The sequence below is a fragment of the Homo sapiens genome, chromosome 10, assembly GCF_000001405.40.
Source record: "Homo sapiens chromosome 10, GRCh38.p14 Primary Assembly".
Taxonomy (NCBI): domain Eukaryota; kingdom Metazoa; phylum Chordata; class Mammalia; order Primates; family Hominidae; genus Homo; species Homo sapiens.
The window spans coordinates 25,532,389-25,555,446 of NC_000010.11; the positions used below are offsets into that span (position 1 = coordinate 25,532,389).

General features: G+C 37.6%; 1 protein-coding gene across 3 annotated transcripts in view; it reads left to right on the plus strand.

Annotated features, from left to right (window-relative positions):
• The window catches only part of GPR158 (G protein-coupled receptor 158), a 427,229-nt gene that overhangs the window by 357,388 nt on the left and 46,783 nt on the right, over nt 1-23,058 (plus strand). For all 3 annotated transcript variants that reach the window (XR_930512.4, NM_020752.3, XM_017016452.3), the window contains one exon: nt 18,588-18,697. Coding sequence is in view for 1 of the 3 variants with exons in the window: in NM_020752.3 (NP_065803.2) it covers nt 18,588-18,697 (110 nt within the window). In the remaining 2 variants the exon portion in view is untranslated. The remainder of the gene's footprint in view (nt 1-18,587; nt 18,698-23,058) is intronic.

Consider the following 23,058-nt stretch of genomic DNA (forward strand, 5'->3'; position numbering starts at 1 on the left):
TTTAATTCTATATTGTGTCTCATCATCATTTTTTCATGTTTCTTCTCAAAATACCATACCTCAACTCTTTTCCTGTGAATTCTTCTGCATTTTTGTTTCTTTGTTGAGGTCTGGAGTTCTTAAGATTCTCTTGCTTCTCCTTGGGTCGTTTTCTGTATCTTTCCACCTCCACATAAAGTCACCATATAGATATTACATATGATACTTTCTCCACTTTGCTCTCTGATCCCCAGTGTGTAGAAAACACCCTCCATTCCCCATTTTAAGAGCCAGGCATTTATGCAATGACCTAACCAGAAATCCTTTTATGCATTGTTTCGTTCCTTTATTACAAAAGTGACACATTTGTTGTAAAAAAAAAAAAATACCAAAGCATATAACTTAAAGAGTAAAATCTCCTTTTGCCCCTTGCGTTCTCATTCCCAGCCAACCTATTCAGAGATAGTCTTCATGGTCTATTGAATGTGCATCTACATATTCCTTTTGATGTAGATACAAACAGAAGCATATGCTATTACTGTTCTGCAGCTTTCTTTTTATTTAACAATTTATCTTAAAGGTGTTTTCATAGCAACAGAATCAGATCCGCTTAATTCCCTTAATGCATGGTTTTCCACTGAATGGCTGTAACTTTAATTACCATAGTGAACCTGTCCCCTACTAGTGGAGAATGTTTTCAGTGTTTTTTGTCTTGCAAAAAATGCTTTAGTGAATATTCTTGCATATATATTTCTGCTATTTCTTATGGATGTTTATGTAGGGCAGTTTTCTAGAAATAGAATTCTCGCTGCACTGTAGTAGTTCTTAGACATTTTCCATCCCCAGCCTTAATCTGAGCTTTAGCTATCCCAATTCCACACGTGGCTTGCTTCTGGGCTGTGGACTAGTATTAGCAGCCCTTAGTCCTTGTCAAATTAAAACCACCTGTTAACCTTAAGAAAAAAATCATTCAGTCTCTGCCCTCAATTTACTGAATCAGTTTCTACAAGAAAAACCTGGACTTATATATATTTTAAACCATTATAGTTGGTTCTGGTGTTCAATCAGGGTGGAAGACCAATACACTGGTTCCTGGCTTCCACTCTTTCTCATGACTATGGCTGTATCTTCTCTCTCAGTAGTTTAATCTCTGTGATGTCCCTCTGCTTTCACAATTTTTCTACATGAATTATTCGGTTTAAAACATTCATTTTACCATTTGTTAACTTCATTCTTTATATATTTCATTTATTTTCCTTGGAAGTTATTTTTACCTTGTCGGCAGTGTTCAGTTCAACCCTGCCTTGTTCACTTCATTGAACAAATTGGTCAACATTTTATAGCACCAGGCATTCTAAAACATCCAGCCTCCATCAAAGATCACTAATTTTAATCTTTCTACTCTGTCCTTCCTTTGTAAAGGTAAGGTGTATTGCATAGCAATAATGAGCTCAGACTCCAGACCCCAGCTGAGTTTAAACCCAGCTCTGCCACTTACCAGCTATGTGACCTGGGGCAAATTCCTTAACTTTGCCTCAGCTTCCCCATATGTAAAGTGGGAGTAATAATAATGCCTACATCACAGTATTGTTGTAAGAAATAAACAAGTTATTTTATGTAGGGCACTTAAAAAGTAACTGGAATATAACATGAATTCATTAGATGTTGTTATTACCCCTCACCAAAAAGATAATGAGATAGACTCTGAGTTGCTTCCTTCTCTCCTGGGCCAGCTTTCAGCTTTCTTTGACATCTTCATCTGGTTATGCTTTGGCACATGCTTTTCTTCTCTATAATTATGTTGATATCTATCATCTGTTGTCATTCTTACTGAGATTCTTTTTTGGCCTTGAGTGTTTTTACAGTCATTTAGGGTTTCCAAAAGTAGCAGACATAAACATGTTCAATCTGCCAGGTTTTACCTGACATCTTCATTCTTCCTTAGTTACAATTTAAACATAGACATATGTACTTTTAAAGATCTGAATTAGGCCAGGCGCGGTATCTCATGCCTGTAATCCCAGCACTTTGGGAGGCTGAGGCAGGCAGATTACTTGAGGTCAGTTCGAGACCACCCTGGCTAACGTGATAAAACCCCGTCTGTACTAAAAATGCAAAAAACAAAACAAAACAAAACAAAACAAAAACAGATTACTTGAGATCAGGAGTTTGAGACCATCCTGGCTAACATGGTACAACCCCGTCTCTACTAAAAATGCAAAAAAAAAAAAAAAAAATTAGCTGGGTGTGGTGGCACGTATCTGTAATCTCAACTATTTGGGAAGCTAACACAGGAGAATCGCTTGAACCCAAGAGGTGGAGGTTGCAGCGAGCCAACATTGTGCCACTGCACTTCAGCCTGCGTGACAGAGCAAGAAGTGACAGAGCAAGACTCCATCTCAAAAAGTTAGATAGACAGATAGACAGACAGACAGGGATCCGAATTACATCTCCCACCTCAACATGACCATACCATTTTTCTTACTGTTTAAAACATTACAATAAAAAAGTCACTTCTCAGCAGTTCTTAGTCATGAGCTATGTGTAGTCATTTCTCAGCAGTTCTTAGTCAAGAATCATGATCCTGAAGATGGGTTAGACTCTGTTGGAGAAGGCAGCCTTACTGGATTTCTTTTCTTGCTTTCAAAAATTTCTCCTTTAAAGTAGTTTTTCACATTATTCTTTCTCTAAATGCATACTCTGGGGATCTCATAGCTTTGTAGTCTATATTCCTCTTACATCATTTGCTTTGAACCCAGGTAGATAACAGCATTTCTGATGATATAAAAGTAGTCTCTTTTTGTGGTAAATAACTAATAGCTCCAATGTTCCCTACCTCCTGGTAATCATGGCCTATGTAATTCTCACCCCTTGACTAATTAGTTTCTAATCAATCAAACAGATTAACATTGAAAGAATGTGACTTCCACAATGAGGTTAAAAAAATTACAACTTTCATCTTGCTAGAAGACTCTCTCTTGCTGGCTTTGATGAAGCATGCGCCATATTGGAGTGGCCCACATGGCAAGGAACTGAGAATGGCCTCCAACCCACAGCCAGCAAGGACAAAGGGCCTCAGTTCCTCTAGCCCTCAGGGAGGCAAATGCTGACAACAGCAGCATGGGCTTGGAAGTGTATCCTTCTCCAGTTTAGCCTTCAGATGGAACCCCAGACCTGAGTAATGGCTTGATTACAGATGTGTGAGTAACCCTAAGGCTGGCAGTGCCTGGATGAATGACCCACTGAAACTGTGAGATAAGAAATGAGTATTGTTTTAAGCCAGCCACTAAGTTTGTGGTATTTGTTATATACAAGTAGATAATGAATGCACCTTGATTGTCCTGGTTTTATCCATCATATTAATAGTTCTGACTCTGCTTCGACAAAGCTCAGTTTGCCTAGTCTGCTTCTTTCCTCTTCTCTCTATACCCCATTCTCAACTCCACACTATTCAGAAGCTTCTTTTCTGTCCTTATTTGAAGATACATTTAGAATAAGACTAAATAGATTGTTGATTCAAATGTGACAAATATCAAAAGTAATCCTCATATGTTAGTAATAAAACTGGCATTTCTCCATTGTTTTGTACTGTTTTAAGTGCATCCACACTGTGTCCCCACTAAACTGTTGAGGAAAGTGAGGCCCAGAGAAATTAAGGAATTTGTCCCAGGTTATATTTCTCATTGGTGGTAAAGCCTAGCCTGGCATTTAGGGCAATTAACACCAAATTCCTTGTTTTACCCACTGCATTAGGCTGCAGCTCCTTTCCACCTGACTAGTAGGTAGCTCATATATTTGTATTATTTTACAAATAAAAGTCTTCAATTTTTATTGAAGAATATTTAATTCTTTAATATTAAAGATATTAATTTCTTTATTAAAGAAAATTCATTTGTAAAATAATGCAAATATATTTTACATTATTTGTTATATTAAATCTCCAGCCTCCTTTACATATAGTGGTTTTACTGAAGCTAATTAAGTATTTCCAAGTGTGTGTATTTTATTTTGCTCTAAACCAGGCATATTATTTGGCCAGTAATGAAAACAAATCTTTCTGAGATGTGTGCTACAAGTATTTTGTATTCTGAATGAAGAAGTGTAAAGTCTCCAGTTTCTAATGGCCTTCGTTAACATCCCATTTACCAACTCTTGTACTGTTTTTGTCCTTTATAAAAGAAAATTCCTGAATCAGTAAATCATTGATCATATTCAGAGTTCATTTGTTTCTGCATTTGTCCATTTCTTGAGAAATATATTTTTAACCTCTCTGCCAAATATCTTAGCTGATAAACTGCATCTTTTTTTTAGTCATATTTTAGGAGATGATTCAAAAGATTTAACTTTATCTTTCCATTATATGCACAGATTAAACTGAAAGATTCAGTTATCTTGGGCTGGCAGGCTTCACTTTCTGGGTTTTGCCCAGTTCAGCCAACCCATGCTACTCTAACTGTGGTCCTAGGAGCAGCAGGATTAGCATCCCGAGGGGCTTGTCAGAAATGCATCATCTTGGGCCTCACCACAAACCTACTGAAGCACACTTTGCATTTTGGCAAGCTCTCCAGATGATCGTATGCACGTGAAGATGTGAGAAACACTGTTCTAAGCCCCTTTTATGGCAGAGTCCTAAGTGGTCCAGCTCACCCAGTGGCACCACTTCCAGGCTAAACTCCACCTGTGTCTCAAGTCACTTTATTGTCATCTGCCAGAAAATGATTGTAATCAATCTAAAGTAGACAATGCATTCAAGATGTTCTTGCTAGTTGTGTAATGCACAGACTGCATACTCATGCAGAGGCCCTCCCTTACTGTATAGTCTTTCCAACCAAAACAAAGTAATTCCCAGGAATTATTCTATTGAACTATCCATTTTTCCATTATTTCTGAGGACTCTTAATTCATTTAGCTCTTTCAGCCTTAATATAGTAATATGATACCTAATAAGATTATCTTATTTCTAAAGCATAAGACCATATACTTCTTTGACTGTATCATGACATAAATATGTTATTTACCATTTACTAAGCACCTGTAACAGATATTGGAGTAGTTTCTTATTTTAAATTAACTTTTTTCTGATTACAGAACATGTGTAAGATACTGAGACTTGAAAGCATGTCTAATACTAAAACCAGAGAATCTCTGTCAACATTGTTTACTTTGTGTGTTATGTATATACACACATACAATTTTATATATATTTATATTATTGAAAATTAACCTTTTCTCAATACACATTTACAGTAAGGATTTGAACTGGAGCTTAACTGCCTGATATGGCCTGGATTTGTGTCCCCGCCCAAATCTCATGTGGAATTGTAATCCCCAGTGTTGGAGGAGGGGCCTGGTGGGAGGTGACTGGATATGGGGGTGGATTTCCCCCTTGCCATTCTCATGATAGTGAGTTCTCATAAGATCAGGTTGTTTAAAAGTGTGTAGCACCTCCTCTTTCACTCCCTTCCTCCTCTGCCATGTAAGATGTGCCTGCTTCCCCTTCACCTTCTATGGTGATTGTAAGTTTCCTGAAGCCTCCCCAGCCATGCTTCCTGTAGAGCCTGCGGAACTGTGAGCCAATTAAACCTCTCTTCTTTTTAAATTACCCAATTTCAGGTATTTCTTTATAGTGGTGCAAGAACAGACTAATACACTGTCCATTTTAGAAAAGATCAATCTTTTCAAAACAATACAAAATGAAAAAAATTTTTACCATAATACTTTGATCACAGTACTCAACATTCTGCTCACTAGTGTGTGTTTTTCTCTCAGAGGCACATGCAGTTTGCTCATAAGGATATCAGGAGAGAAAACAAGAAGCCAAATCAGAGCCAAAGCTTCAGATTTGCCGTTGTTGTTGTTGTTGTTGTTTTGCTTTTTTGGCAATTATAGAGAACAGATATTTTAGATGAATATCTTTTTTTTAAATTATACTTTAAGTTCTAGGGAACAGACATTCCAGGATATTTTCCCCATTAGCTTTTATGCATAGCTCCTTATGCCTTGTTTTATAGAATAAATTAAGGATGTTCAATTCAGGGTAATAAACAGGGGACAAGTGTGCTTTCATTTCTCTGTGTATGTTTCTATGTATGTACATATATATACACACAAATGTTTTGTTGTTGTTGTTAAGAGATGGGTTTTCACTATACTGCCCAGACTGGAGTGCGATGGTTATTCATAGGTGTGATTATCACACATTATAGCCTCGAACTCCTGGCCGTAAGTGATCCTTCTGCCTCATGTGATCTTCCTGCCCAGCTTCCCAAGCAGCTGGGACTGCAGGCATGTGTCACGGTGCCTGGCTACACATAAATGTTGAGCATAACTGCTATCACACTGTATATTTTATATACATTTTAGGTGCTGCTTATTTTTTCACTAAACATAAATCCTGAGAGCTTTCCCATATTTTTTATTTTTGAGGACATGATTATTAAGGATGGTATAAACTTCTGTCTTAAGTCACGCATCGTAATTTATTCTTGGCCAAAACGGTATCTATTTTGAACACATACACGGAGAAGTTGTGAAAGTTTAGAGCAAAAATAGTCATATGTTTCTTTGTTTATTATGTGTATTAGAATGGGCTGTTTCCATGAAGCGCCTCTTCTCATAGAGAGATGGGAAAACCGAGACCAGGGAGGGCACCTGGACTTTCCATTGTGTGCCCTCCCAGCACGCTGGTTTTCTGCATCTTGCTGTGCTTTTCCTTGAGCCGCTAAATGTCACATTTATGAATGTAGTGCTGCATCCTGGGTGTTCTAACCTATGCATGGATGGAGATGAGAGGTGCTGCTAGGGGAGGAGCAGTATTGGACTGGGAGGCTCCAAGACTGGCTTATGTGTAATAAAGCTGCTGCCTAGTTGGGGCATGACCAAGGATTTTTTAAATTTGATCTTCTGTTTAGCAAAAAGCTATGGGTCTCAGAGTTAGAAGACCCCAATGAGGAGGAGTATGAATGAAAATCTTTCCTTGTTATGTGTGGGGGGTTTAGATCTTATTCTGGTTCAGAGAATGAGGCCTGTGGTGTTTTATTTAAAAGGTACTTCTTTATTGGATAAGATCTACCAAGCTGTGAGTAGAATCACCACTAAGACTTTGGGAACTTGTCCTCTTTGCCCTTGGTTTTTAGACCTGTAACCCCTTTTAATTTTTTTTTTTTTTTGGACATTTTCAGGTGTATTCTATGGGAATTTTGGAGAGGATGTATTGGGGTACAGCATAGCATCTGCTGCCACATTAACCCCCAAATCTTGTATATTTTATAATTTTTAAAATGTTACTTCTGTATTACTATGGAAGCTATTCAATTTTTGTTGTTTTGGGGTAATAGGAGCCAAATATTAAGTTCTAGACCATGGTTGTATAAAGACACATAATCACAATTATAGCCATTCTCATGTATGTGGTAATTGTATAAATGTAAAGCTGCATTAGGTACTTTTGTTATTTTGAATCCAAAATTACTATGGAATCAAAAATGAACCTATAGTAAGATTTGAAGGACATGCATTTTTATCACTAAATAAGTCCCACGTATGGAAGCACATCTCTTGCCAAATATAGAAAAATATAAGAATTTTAGTTTAATTAGATCCTCTGCACAGCAAAAGAAACTACCATCAGAGTGAACAGGCAACCTACAGAATGGGAGAAAATTTTCGCAACCTACTCATCTGACAAAGGGCTAATATCCAGAATCTACAAAGAACTCAAACAAATTTACAAGAAAGAAACAACCCCATCAATAAGTGGGCGAAGGATATGAACAGACACTTCTCAAAAGAAGACATTTATGCAGCCAAAAGACACATGAAAAAATGCTCATCATCACTGGCCATCAGAGAAATGCAAATCAAAACCACAATGAGATACCATCTCATACCAGTTAGAATGGTGATCATTAAAAAGTCAGGAAACAACAGGTGCTGGAGAGGACATGGAGAAATAGGAACACTTTTACACTGTTGGTGGGACTATAAACTAGTTCAACCATTGTGGAAGACAGTGTGGTGATTCCTCAGGGATCTAAACTAGAAATACCATTTGACCCAGCCATCCCATTACTGGGTATACACCCAAAGGATTATAAATCACGCTGCTGTAAAGACACATGCATACGTATGTTTATTGTGGCACTATTCACAATAGCAAAGACTTGGAACCAACCCAAATGTCCAACAATGATAGACTGGATTAAGAAAATGTGGCACATATACACCATGGAATACTATGCAGCCATAAAAAAGGATGAGTTCATGTCCTTTGTAGGGACATGGATGAAGCTGGAAACCATCATTCTCAGCAAACTATCACAAGGACAAAAAACCAAACACCACATGTTCTCACTCATAGGTGGGAATTGAACAATGAGAACACTTGGACACAGGAAGGGGAACATCACACACCGGGGCCTGTCGTGGGGTGGGGGGAGTGGGGAGGGATAGCATTAAGAGATATACCTAATATAAATGACGAGTTAATGGGTGCAGCACACCAACATGGCACATGTATACATATGTAACAAACCTGCACATTGTGTACATGTACCCTAGAACTTAAAGTATAATAAAAATATATATATATATATATATATATATATATATAAAGTTTATCTAAAACCTACACCTACATGAAATAGCTAGGTATAGACCATGTGTACAATTTGAATTTAAAAGTTTTTTCCACAAGGAATGTACCACTTTACTTTCCCACTAGCTATATATAAAAGTTCCTGTTCCTCCATATACATATCAAGATTTTTGATTGCCAGACTTAATTTTACCAAACTAATGAGTGTAAAATAATATCTTATTATAATAAATCATCTATTACTAGTGAGGACTTGCCAATCATAATTCCACTAAAATGCTCACTGTGTATTTTTGCAAATTGCTTATTTGTTCTTATGGAATTATAAAAATTCTTTACATATTCTGGATAACAGCACTGTACCAATTCTGTGTCTTGTGAATATCTTCTCCCAGCATATGATTTTTTTTCATTTTCTTTCCATGTTCTTGATTTTAATGAAATCAAATTTCTTGATCTTTTACTTTTTGTGTGGTTAAAAATTTTTAGTTATGTTTAAGAAATTATCTCCTACACCAAAATCATGAAGAGATTGTGTTCTATTTTATAAGTCTTAATGTTGTGCCTTTCACATTTATGTCTTTTGTGCACCTGTAACTGATTTTTATGTATGGTGTAAAGTAGAAATTCAGTTTCAAAAAAAAAAAAAATTTTAGAACACACCACAGGACATTGAATAAAGGCCCATAAAAGATGATCCTGAATAAATGTGCTTCAATGAACGTGGCTCTGGCTAATGACTCATTTCCAGCCTCCTACTTCAAACAAAGCAAACCTGGAGAGGTTACACACAAGGTTTAGTTTAGTACTAGTATGACCTTTGTGGAGTGTCCTCCATCAAGGAAAATTATCGGCTTAATTCTTCCCATGTTGTTAGGATTGTTGGCAGCATAGCAAACCTGGGGATGAGCAACTCTGGAAAATATTTGACTAGGAAGCAGGGGGAAATTATAAATTATATTATATATTATATTTTATATAATTATATAAATTATATATTATATATTATAATTATAAATTATATATTATAAATTATAAATTATAAAGTCGTTAAAGCCTCAGATGTTCTTCAAATCCTTATCAAAGGACAACTTCATCAACAAAAATCTTGCCACTTGAGTCTGTTACCATGCCTCCTAGTACACAGTAATCTTTTTTCTTTTATTTCTTTTTGTAAGTAAAACTGTTCTCACACTCTCTACTAACAGAAACCCCAAAGCACATAACACCTCACTTACCTGTCAAAGTGGTTAAATTCACAACCAGTTTCACTGAACTGAAGCAAATAACACTTGGAGAGTCAACTAGGAAAGGGGAACTGCTGTGTTCAACACTATTGCTCAGATTCTAAAGAGATCAGGCCTAAACCAAGAGCTTCACACCTTTGACTCTCAGAGCTTTGGGAACAGCTTTGGACCATGCTGGCTTCTTCTCATCATTGTACCTTGTCAGCATCCCTCTTTTAAAAGCACTGGGCATTGTATCTACTGAGCAGAAATGGTGGAGATTAATTTTCTGTCTCTATCAATGTGTCTATACTTGCAAATAAGTTATTCTGTTAAAAATGTTCTTCTATGGGCCAGGCGCAGTGGCTCATGCCTGTAATCCCAACACTTTGAGAGGTCAAGGAGGGTGGATCACCTGAGGTCAGGAGTTGGAGACCAGCCTGGCCAACATGGTGAAACCCCGTCTCTACTAAAAATACAACAAATTAGCTGGGCGTGGTGGTGGGCACCTATAATCCTGGCTACTTGGGAGGCTGAGGCAGGAGAATCGCTTGAACCCTGGAGGTGGAGGTTACAGTGAGCCGAGATCACACCATTGCACTCCAGCCTGGCAACAAGAGTGAAACTCCATCTCAAAAAAAAAAAAAAAAAAAGTTCTATTTCTAAGTTGAGCATATTTGAGAAGTCTAATAGTCTCCTTTATATTTCTCTATTTCTCCCCTCTTAGCTGTGTTCAGTAGCCTAAGAGTCCAGGCAATCAAGCAGACTTCAAAACATGCTAACAAAATCACATTCAATTAAATGGGAGAATAACTTCTTTGTTATTGAAATTGAAATCTTTGAAATGGGAGAATAATTTCAAAGATTTCTTTGTACCTGAGAGGAAAGCCTGGAGGGCTGTTTCTACCACAGCAATACTTTTTATTTTTTATTTTTATTTTTATTTTTTGAGATGGAATCTCACTCTGTCACCCAGGCTGGAGTGCAGTGGCGCAATCTCTGCTCACTGCAACCTCTGCCTCCCAGGTTCGAGAAATTCTCATGCCTCAGTCCCCCAAGTAGCTGGGATTACAAGTGTTCACCACCCTGCCCAGCTAATTTTTGTATTTTTAGTAGAGGTAGGGTTTCACCATGTTGGCCAGGCTAGTCTCAAACCCCTGACCTCAAGTGATCCACCCACCTCAGCCTCCCAAAGTGCTGGGATTACAGGCGTGAGCCACTGCACCCAGCCAGCAATACTTTTTAAAAACTCGATGCCTTGAGTATCCTACCACTAAGATCATTTGATTGAATTTTTTGTATAAATTTAAGGGGTACAAGTGCAATTTTGTTACATGGCTGTAGTGTGTAATGATGACTGGGCTTTTAATGTATCCATCACTTAAATAACGTTTGTTACATGCACTGAGTAATTTCACATCAGCCACCTCCTTTCACTTCTCCACTTTTCCAAATCCCCTTTGTCTATCATTCCATACTCTATGTCCCTGGGTACTGATTATTAGTTTCCACTTATTAGTGAGAACATGCAGGAATTTTCTTTCTGCTTCTGAGTTGTTTCACTTAAGATAATGGCCTGCAGTTCCATCTACCTTGCTACAAAAGATAAAATTTTATTTTTTATGGCTCAATGGTATTCCATGGTATATGAATTGTGAGAGCATTTGAAAAAACTTCCCATGGTTATGAACCAAGTCCTTCAAACACACACCGAGGTACATCTACCTTAGGTCTTCACACTGAAGCCTTGCTCTCAAAGACTGTGGGAGAAACAAACCTCTAGGCAAATTATAGTGAGTTCCCAAGAGGCATTCTTAAAGGTAAAGGGAAGTTGGTAGTTTGGGTGTGACATCTGCTGCTGCTGATCCTGGATGTCTTTTCCACTCAGCTCATCCTCTTTAACCTAGGATGTCTCATTTTACAACGCCTATACTTTATATGCTGTGATCATTCATCCAGCAATTATGCAAGCTCTTCAGTCCCTAGGTTACTTAATAAATAGAGTGGTATGCTTTACTCCTGTGGCCAACAAATTCAATGCAACGTCTTTATAACTATCACTGGCCCCTAGTATCAGAAAGAGAATCAGCATAGTGTTTTATTTTTTTTTTGTGATACATATTTTGGAATTATGCCTTAGGCAGTTCTTCCAGTAAAGGAACTTCTTATGGGTTCTTGTTTAAAAATTATTTTGATAACCATGGGCAAATTAGTTAATCCCATTACAACTCAGTCTGTTTTTCTTTAAAATAGAGATAATAAAGTATATTTTGGACCCTAAATATAGGTAATATGTCTAGCATGGTTATCAGTGCGTATGTGTTGGGAGGCATGTGTAGCTATTATTGTTATTGGTACATAAAAATGATAGCTATCAGTATATCACTATTATCATAATTCATAAATTCTTCAGCTTAGTGGCTTGATTTTCTCAATTTCTTCACTGTTAGTCTGTTATGAAATTTGTCACTGAGATTTCAAAAGGAATGTTTTATAATTTGTTAAAATATATGTTTATATATAATATTTTTTGTTATACTTTAAGTTTTGGGATACATGTGAAGAACGTGCAGGTTTGTTACATAGGTATACACGTGCCATGGTGGTTTGCTGCACCCATCAACTCATCATCTACATTATGTATTTCTCCTAATGCTATCCCTCTGCTACCCCCCAACCCCTGACAGGCCCTGGTGTATGATACTCCCCTCTCTGTGTCCATGTGTTCTCACTGTTCAACTCTCACTTATATGTGAGAACATGCAGTGTTTGGTTTTCTGTTCCTGTGTTAGTTTGCTGAGAATGATGGTTTCCAGCTTCATCCATCTCCCTGCAAAGGACATGAACTCATCCTTTTTATGGCTGCATAGTATTCCGTGGCGTATATGTGCCACATTTTCTTTATCCAGTCTATCATTGATGAGCATTTGGGTTGGTTGCAAGTCTCTGCTGTTGTGAACAGTGCTGCAGTAAACATATGTGTGCATGTGTCTTTATAGTAGAATGTTTTATAATCCTTTGAGTATATACCCAGTAATGGGATTGCTGGGTCAAATGTTATTTCTGGTTCTAGATCCTTGAGGAATCGCCACACTGTCTTCCACAATGGCTGAACTAATTTACACTCCAACCAACAGTGTAAAAGCATCCCTGTTTCTCCACATCCTCTCCAGGATCTGTTGTTTCCTGACTTTCTAATGATTGTCATTCTAACTGGCATGAGATGGTATCTCATTGTGGTTTTGATTTGCATTTATCTAATGACCAGTGATGATGAGCGTTGTTTCATGTGTTTGTTGGCCACATAAATGTTTTCTTTGGAAAAGTGTCTGTTCGTATCCTTTGCCCACTTTTTGATGGGGTTGTTTATAGATAATATTTTTAATGATAAAAAGTTAAATTTGGGGGATTTGAAAATATTGAACTTTCTAATCTCATTTTTGATTTTGGTTTTCAGCTTGTTACAGATTATATTAACTGTTACAAACCTAGATCCGAATTCGATGTCCCATAGGCACTTTTACTCAGCATTTCCAAAAATGAACATATTATTCTCCTTCCTTGCTCACTTCCTCTCTTCTTCCCATCCTTCCTTCCTTTTTTAATCTCATCCCTTCCACATCATGTACTGATTATCTCCTATTGCCAGGTACTATCTTAGGGAATGGACGTGCAATCAAGAATTAGTTACAATCGTTGCCCTCGTGCGCCTTTATAAACTAGGTAGCTACATTAAACAAATGAATTACAGAAAGAATTATTTCCAAGGAGAGCTGATGAGTGCAACAAAGGAAAGCTCAGCATTCATTGAGAGTAAATAACGTGCAAATAAGATGGAAACCTAACTCAGTCTGAGGGATGCTGGAGAGAGTCATGAATGCCCGCCCTGAGCTGAGACATGCAGGATGAGGCAGGGAATGACCACTGTGTCTTGTTAGCATTTCTCTTTTAAAAGCAGTAGGCATTGTGTCTGCTCAGCAGACACAGTGGAGATTAATTTTATGAGTCTCTAGTGGTGTGTCTATACTTGCAAAAAAGTTATTCTATTGTAAAGCATTCTTTTATTTTGTGCATATTTGAGAAGCCTAATAGTCTTCTCCTTTGTGGTTCTCTTGTTCACCCCCATTAGCTGTGTTCAGTATCCAAAGAGTCAAGGCAATCAAGCAGACTTCTAGATGTCTTCTGCAGACTTATGCATCCTTTTCTTTTTGCTGTTTCATTTCAAGTACAATCATCCTCCAGGTCACCCAGGCTTAAAATATTACATTATGTTTGACACTATATTCCCTTTTGCCTCAACAAATAACAGGTTGCCCAGTTTTCTTCATTTGGCATCTTCTTTCCTGTATCTCCATGAATGAATGAATTCTCCCTCTCACCATATTAGTTACATCCTTCTTTGCCTTTGCCCTATAGCTTTATTTTTCCTTTCATCCAAGAAATATTTACTGAGCACTTTCTGTGTGCCAGGACGCTGCTAGTGCCAATGTCACAGAAGTGAATGAGAAAACCCATGGTTGTCACGGAGCCTGCAGCCTACTGGAGGGAAGACATGATTAACAAGTAGGGCCAGTGTGCTAAGCCACAGGGGAGGCATGTTCTTTCTAGAGGAAGGGATATTTGGGCTGAGGCTTGAAGGGGTGAACAGGAGAAAGCCAGGTACAAGTGAGCCGGGGGTTGTGCAAGGAATATCTAGTCAGAAGATTCAGCAAATGCAAGGACCGCAGGGATCAGATTAGTGGAAGTAGTGATGTTGTAGAGATCAGCTAGCTCCAAGTGTGAAGACTCTTGCTAACCATCTTAAATAATTTTGACTTTTTCCTAAGAGTATTGAGAGCCACTGAAAGGTTCTAAGCAGGGAAGTGAGGTGATGAGAAAGATCCCATCAGTTGCCATTTGGGAACTGCAATGACAGACAGTGGAATAAGAAATAGGAAAATGTTTGGTGGGGAAGATGAACTTGGTTTTTCTTTTTTCCTTCCAACTGGTCCTCTCGCCTTCAGTCTCTCCCCTTTCCATAGCCCAACCTATGCTCTTCCGTGCTGTAGCCGGATGGATTCCCTGGTGCACACACTGCTGACCTCAACTCAGAGAGCTTTAATGCCATGTATACTGCTCCTGGAATAAAATCTGAATTCTCCACCCTATTATTCAAAGCTTACAATGATCTGGCTCCATCTGTTTTAAAGCTTTCTTTACATGATTCCTCTTGTCTTACTGGCTGTAACTATACGCTCCACACTCCGGAACTTTCCCACAATATGCTTTTGTCCTGGGCTCCCTCCCTCTTTCATCTTTGCCTGAATGAACACTTAAGCCTGTTCCTCCTTTCGTTCTCGCTCACTTGTCAGCCCTTCCAGGATAATTTCACTTGTTTCCACTGCCAGTAATTTCCCTTTCCTCTGAAATCCTCATTATAATGCATTTCACAGGGTGATGGCATTCATCACCTCCCCCACACAGCAGAGCCAGTTAGGAGGCAGGATGACATCATTGTTCTTATGAGCATGAACTCTGGAACCAAACTTCCTGGATTCAGATCCTGGCTCTGACAGTTCTAGCTGTGTAGCCCTGAGCACATCACTTAAATTATCTTTGCCCTATTTCCCTTCAGTAAAATCAAAGTCTCGTCTTTCTAAGGTATTGTGAGGATTAAATGAGTAAATGTATGCAAAGATGCTTAATTTAGTGTCTAGCATATAGTAAGTGTTGCCTAAATATTTAGTGAATCATATTTATCACTTACCTGTAACATTCACTCTATGAAAGTATAACTTTTTTGAAGACCTAATCCACATCTGATGTTTTTTATGGCTTCCAAATCCCTTACTGCCTCACAAAGAGTAAATAAATATTGAATATGTCAATTAGGATACTAATGATTAGGAAGCCCTAATCAGTTTTCAAATCATTTATTTTGAAGGTAACATTTTCCTTTTAAAATTGGCTAAAATAGATCATTGAGCAAATATTTAATATGTATAAACTTTTAGTTTGTAAGCACACAGAATATACTGAGGAACAGGCCCTTCTTCAATTTTACATTTAATTTAGAGAGGCAACCATACAGATAACTACAATGCAAGATGCAGTAGAAGAAGCATATAGTCTAAAAGTCATAGTAGGAATTCAAAAGAAGGGGTGGCTGGGTTGATCAGAAAAGAATTTGTTGAGATGATGAGATATAATTGTGCTGCAGTGAGAATGGTAACTTTTAGAACAAAGCATAAATAAATCAACTCTCCTAATAATATTAGCCAATACTTATTGAATACTCATTGTACCAGGCACTGTGTTTGACTGCTTACCACACACTATTACATTTAAGCTTCAATATATTTCCAAGATGAAGTATTTTGTTGCTGTGCCCATTTTACAAATGGGACAACTGAAGTATGGCAACGCAATATTAAATAAACTGTGGAAGCCCCACAACTAAGAAAGAGTAGACCCAGAATTGGAACCGAGGGAGACTGGATTCAAAGCCTGTACTCTCTCCTACCACCAGCTTTGCCTGAGGCACATGCAGACTAAGAGTTACAGTCCACTATTTGCTGAACTATTTTTAATAACACATTTTATTTAGTTTACTAGAATTTCATTTCTTATTATTTTAAAACTTATACCTCCACCATGGATGCTGAAAAATATTGTTATTTCATGTATTTCTGGCCAACCCAATCTTTCACTTATATTAACAAGTCCTGAACTTCTTTATCTGTGAAATAAAAAGTTTGAAGGTATATCAGTAGTTCCCGGACAGCTCAAAAATGAGTATTTTTAAGTAAAAATTATGCAGACTTCTATATTACAGTTGTTCACCTTTGCTCATTCATTACCTAGAGAAAGCGTGGTGGATAATGAAAAGCTTTACTGATAGGATTTTGCAGCTCCCAAGAATCCACTGTTTCAGAAGAATTTCTATGGCCATTTCTAGTGGAAATATTTGAGATTTTACATATTCCAGACTTCAGACCCCCGTATGTGTAGTCTCTCATCTATTATTCTCTCTTCCATGAGAAGGAGCACATATGCTCCCCACATACCTCAATCTTCTGTCAAGGTTTCTCCATTTGTCTTCCCCCTCCTAAGTTTTTCCTCCCCCTTTTAGCTTCAAGTCCTTAGTAAACAATAAAACTTGCTTTGCAGAACTCTTTATTCCTATTGAACTACTATGCAAAGAAATATGTCTGAAATACCCGAGCTCAAACTTGGAATACAAATTTGTACAATTTTAACTTGTTTTGTGAAAACAGTAAAAACAGGTTTTTACTTTTTTTTTTCCTGAATCTAGACATTTTTCTGGTAGATTAAATCCTGAAGGAAAATATTTATCTGTATCTTCACGCAGACCTAGTAAATTGGAAGACTAAGGACAAATTCTGTGTATGTGAAGTAATAAAGTTGAATATTTTTGCTTGACTTCAGGAGCACGCAAAACAACATTGTCTCCTGTTCACACCTATTTTTACCTTTCTTTAATTTCTCCTTAACACTTTTGTCCGTATTTTCTCCATTCCTTGAGAACTTAATGTCTTTGTGTAGTAGAAATACTTGAGAAATGCCAGGGGAGTTTAGGTAATTCATTCTTGGCACTGCTAGAGAGAGGGGCTATATTTGTAAAATATCAGCAAGAAAATGTCAGTACCTACCCCATGGCCCCCAGCAATATGCACAACTCTGGCAGGGAAAAACAAAATCATACTCAGGGTTTTGGCAGTGGGCATATTTTCTGTTACGACCTTGCTTTTAGCAGAAACAGTTCAGGCCAGCTGCTCCAGCAAAGATTGAGAGTCTGTGCTCTTCACTAGTATTAATCCTTTAGCACTGCAAGGTTCTTAGGCAGGGTCAAACCAATTCTTATTCTACAAGGACTCACTCAAAACTGCACAGTAGCATATGAAGAGTAGTGGAGTGTCTTGCACGTTATCTGTTCACTCTCCCCTGGAATTGGCCGCTCGTTTCTTTGTGGTCCCACTGAAATTGTAGAAATATTTATCACAGTACCTATGTTACTTGAATGCAATTTCCTATTTCCATGTCTCTTTTCCCCCTCTTCCTGGCCTTTGTATCTTGTATCAGCAGCACCTAGCACAGTGCCTGGCTCAGGGTAAATGCTTAATATTTGTTGAATGAAAACTCTGGAGTGAGAAAGTTTGGAATTAGTGAGGTAATTGAGCCAAGTAGTAAATATGGAGTGGTAGACTGTTTGCAAGATGCAGTATACGGCAATCTCAGGGCTGTTTCAGACGGGGGAAAGGGATTGCCAGAAGTGTGGAGGTGGGAACAATCGGCTCTGGGGGGAGAATGGCAGTGGGACTATCCTCACTTGTTCGTTTTGGACAATAAGGAGAGGTAAGTTTGGACATACACCAAAGACTTAGAGACAGTTTATAGAAACTTCTAAAAGTTAGATTTTTTAAAATTATACTTTAAGTTTTAGGGTACATGTGTATAACATGCAGGTTTGTTACATATGTATACATGTGCCATGTTGGTGTGCTGCACCCATTAACTCGTCATTTAACATTAGGTATATCTGCTAATGCTATCCCTCCCCCCAAAGTTAGAAAATTTTAAGAATTTAGATTTTATTTAATAAGCAGTAGGGAGACTGTGTATTTCTTTGGTCTGGACAATAAATGGTCAAAATAGTATTTTAAAGAAGTATTCAGATGAGTGTATATCAAAATTCATATGTATGAAACATCAGGTTATGAGATATTGACTTGGGTCTGTGGGTCATCAGTTGATCCTGAAGGTCTCTTTCTGTTTTCATCCCACAGGTTGTTATTTTGTACTTTGAGCCAAGCACATTTCGCTGTATTCTCCTAAGATGGGCTCGTCTTCTCGGTTTTGCTACTGTTTACGGAACTGTCACTCTCAAACTTCACAGGTATATACATTTTATTCATCGTCATTCTCATGGAAAGATCAAACTAATCAGCTTGGCACATAATTGTTAGCTGGGCTGACCACTTAAATGGCTCAGTTTCAAGAATTTACATAGCAAGATACTATATATTTTTCACTTTCAAGGTGTGACATCTTTTGGATTCTTCAGGGAAATATTTAATACAACTGAATTGTTTGAACAAGATGCTTCAATAAAATGTGTCATTGGTTATGGAAAGGGTTAGTTCCTAATAAAGTTTAAAATATGAAACAGTATTTACTAGTTCAGAGCAGGAAGGAATACAAAGGTAATACAGCTGAAATAAGGATACATATCCAGAGTGACCATAGAATCCCATACAGAAACACACTTATTTGACAAAAACTACCATCCGCCATTCCCAAGTTCCATACCCCAAGGTAATCCTGCTGATATTCGATGGGTAAAGTTCAGAAAATAGTGCTTTTGGCTTTTCTCCTAAACCAGTGTGCTTCAGTGATTATCAGCCTTGGAAAATGGAGAATGCTCTAAGTTCCCTAATACTTAGTTCTAAACCACCTAAATATTGGGGTGGGGCAGGGGAAGCAACAAAATGAACTACCTATCTACAAAGGCTAGGAATGGCTGGAAATTATTCCGGGGCGCTCTCTTGCCTCCTTTTTCCAGGTTTAAAGAAAGTCTCAATTAAGTGGAATTAAGTGGTGCCAAAGAGCATAGGAGATAAACAATAAACTTTCCCTGCAGGGTAGAACTGTATCCCTATAAAGAAAACCCTTTGTACTGATCAGCTTTAAAGCTGTTTCGACAACCATGGTAAGCCATTCATATGTTCATGCTAGTCTGGCCATACATGTTTCTGAATAAAAATCTCCTAATATGGGTCATGCAGTGGTTTAATTACACTGTCTACCACGTAAGAAACTTTATTTTCATTTTTTCTCTTTTGGTACTTAATTGCTGAGAATGCTCTAGATTATCCTTTTATCTTTTTGGGAAAAAAAAGTGAATGTGTTTGACTCTCAAGATTCCCTTCTTATATATGCGGTAAAGTACAAAGGATATTGGATTAGGTTTCAGGAGATCCTATTTAAATCCCAATTTAGCCTCTAACTCTAATAAATCATAGGCTTCTGTTTCCTACAAAAGGAGAGATTAGACCAGTCTCTAATGTTCTCCCTGACTCTCACTGTATTCTATCCACATCACAGCACACTTCCCTCCGGCATCCTTCTTCAACTACCTTCCAGGTTTCCATTTCTTATATGATAGCTGTTTTCCAGCTGGTGCTCACCAAAGAAAAGGAGAAATCAATGACAGCCCATGTGGACAATAAGCCTTCTAGAAACCCTGAAAGAGTAGACACCCCGTTGAGACTTGAAGATAAACTCTGTCCCTGTTAGTCTAGCATTTAGTGTCTAGTGGGTCCTCTATTATAATACTTATGGTGCCTTATAGTTTTCTTATTTGTCTTCACTTTCATTTACTTTCTCCTTGTAGTGAGAATTATACCATTATTGAATCCCCAGCACTCAGCACAAATGACTGACCCATGGGACATGTTTAATACATATGAGTAGATGAGTGAATGAATGAAAAATGTCAGATGAAGCCCTGGAAGCTGCTTCCCGTCATTCTCTCCACACATAACCCATTCATATTCCCCTGACTCACTGTGCTGTACCTCAGCCTGTCTCCAAGTGTCTGGAACACCTAACACTGTGGTCTGCGAGAGTATGTTTAGGGGGATGTGAAACCCGATGTTCAGTAGCACTGAATCATTTAATGAGAAAATTACTTCCATGCAGGTTCTCCTTCAATCCTTCTGATTATTTTCAGCAGAAAGATTAGTTGGGAACTAGTAGGTCTTTAACACTTGCTGAATAGTTGCCAATCTTCCTTTGCAATGAAGAGCAGATCAGGCTTCAGTTTCAGAGCTTTTCACTGCAATGCTGTCTCCATAAGATTCATCATCTTTCTTTCATTGCATTTATTTTTTTAGTTATTTTCTATTTATGGAAAGTGTGACTATCACTAGATAGTGATAAGGTAGTGATATAAAGCTTCCTTTAAATATTTTAAAACAATAAATATAAATTGACTTAAAGAAATTATTAGCTGATGCACAGATACAGCAGAAATCTTGACACTAGTATGCAAATGATTGCAATTTGGGAAACTGTGTTATAACATTATCTCTTTTATTTTAAAAAATGAAATTAAAACTATTCGAAATTAAAACTATTTTCCCTCTGACTTTGTATCTCTAGAAGTCATTGCAGTGAAGAGTTTCTCCACCAAAGGCTTAAATTGAAACTATTGCTAATGTAATGAGCTGAATCATTCTTATCCTCTGTGAACCATATGGCTTTACTATTATATTCTGTTTTTTTCTCTATATTGCTTAAATTTAACTGATCCCAACATTGTTTACATCTATAAACTGAACAATCAGCATCCCATAGAAATGTGAACAACCTGAAGGAAGGACCAGCTGAACCAGCTTTGTGCTCCCCAGATTTAGTGCTATATTTTTCCCATATTATGTATTGAGATACTTGTTGAATGAACGAATGGGTGGACGGTCCTAGTGAATGGAGCTGCAAAGGGTGGGTTTGGCTGGTGTCTCCTAGAGTCAAGAAACATATGGCCCTGAAGGAGGGACGTCTAAGCTTTTGTGATGACATGATAGAGAGGAAAGATGTAAATCCTGACAAATCCAAATTGGAACTTCAATTCTGCCATTACTTATTTATACAACAAAGAATAAATTAACATCTGAGAATTAGTTTTCTCATCCGTAAGATGGTTTAAAGTTTAATAACTTTAAGATGGTAAAGTTGTAGGGACTAAGTATAATTTGAATGTAGGTAAATATGTCAAGTAGGGTTTTTTGGTTGCAAACAAAATGGGTTATGGCTGCACAGAACCAATGGATTTCGCTGAACAGAAATGGATTATGGCTAAATTAAGCAAAAACAGGATTCATTGGAAGGATAGGGGGAATGTCACCCATTGAAGGGAAAGCTAAAGAACAAGACTTTGGAAGGAGCTGATCCAGGATAGCTTGAGGGATCAAAGTAACCCAAGCTAAGGGATAATGCCTTTTGAATACCATGTCTTCATTTTTATAGGAATTCCACTTTTCATTTCAAGGTTTTAAAAAATTAAAAGTAAACCATACCTCTCTAGGCAGAAAATTCTCAGGAAATTATGAATACTGATTTATGAAATGACTGTTATAGTCCCTTGAGGATAGGACACGCAATAAAGATCTGAGTTTTTGTTTTATTTCAGCCATTTCCCTTCTGGCTTAGTGGAATTATTAGATACTTCTTTCTCTTATCACCTGGGTCTCTCACTAATTGATTGTAGTATTTATAGAATTCCTGTAGCACTGAAAACTTGAAACAAACATGAAAGAGGAACAAGATCACATTCTGTCACCAGAGATGAAAATAAATGCTATTTTCATTTGATAAATACTATTAGTCTGGGATGAGAACGTAAAGGTTTTGTTCACTTTTACCAAATCTCCCACTTTTTTCTATGATGGTCTCTCCCCACATTTCAGAGTCATATGGCCAAAGACTACTATAATAATCTGAAGGAAAATTATAAAAGGGTCCCTTGTTTATTAACAAATACAGTTGCACCAAGTTGGGGTTCGGGGTGAAGTGGCCTGTCCCTTTAGAAAGGTGTATTCTGTTTTTTGTCACTGCCATTGTTTAGAATCACCAGTATATGGTGATTATAAAAAGACCAGCTTTTAGTTGGCTTTATTATTGCCTTAAATTCTCACAGACATTTGGAAGAATGTCCTCTTTTTGCCTACACCCCAGGCAGACCACTCACATAGCCCCACCTCACTGGCAAGCCACTGATGTGGTGTAATTTATTCAAAGCTGAAACTATTTGAGAGAGAGGAAAGAAAGAAAAGAAAAGAAGAGAAAAGAAGGAAGGAAAAGGAAAGAAGGGGAGGGAGGGAGGAAGGAAGGAAAGAAGGAAGGAGAAAGAAAGAAAAAGAAAGAGGTTATTGTAGCCTTGTAGTATAGTTTGAAGTCAGGTAGTGTGATGCCTCCAGCTTTGTTCTTTTGGCTTAGGATTGACTTGGCGATGTGGGCTCTTTTTTGGTTCCATATGAACTTTAAAGCAGTTTTTCTCAATTCTGTGAAGAAAGTCATTGGTAGCTTGATGGGGATGGCATTGAATCTATAAGTTAAGAGGAAGAATGGGAAAGGAAAGAAAGGAAAGAGTACAGCTTTTAGCTAGGTCAGTGTGGATCATAAAGGAAAAGGAGCTGAAGTAGGCACAAACGATGTTTATTTACAAAAAGGAACTTCCTTCAGGAACCTTGGATGTGT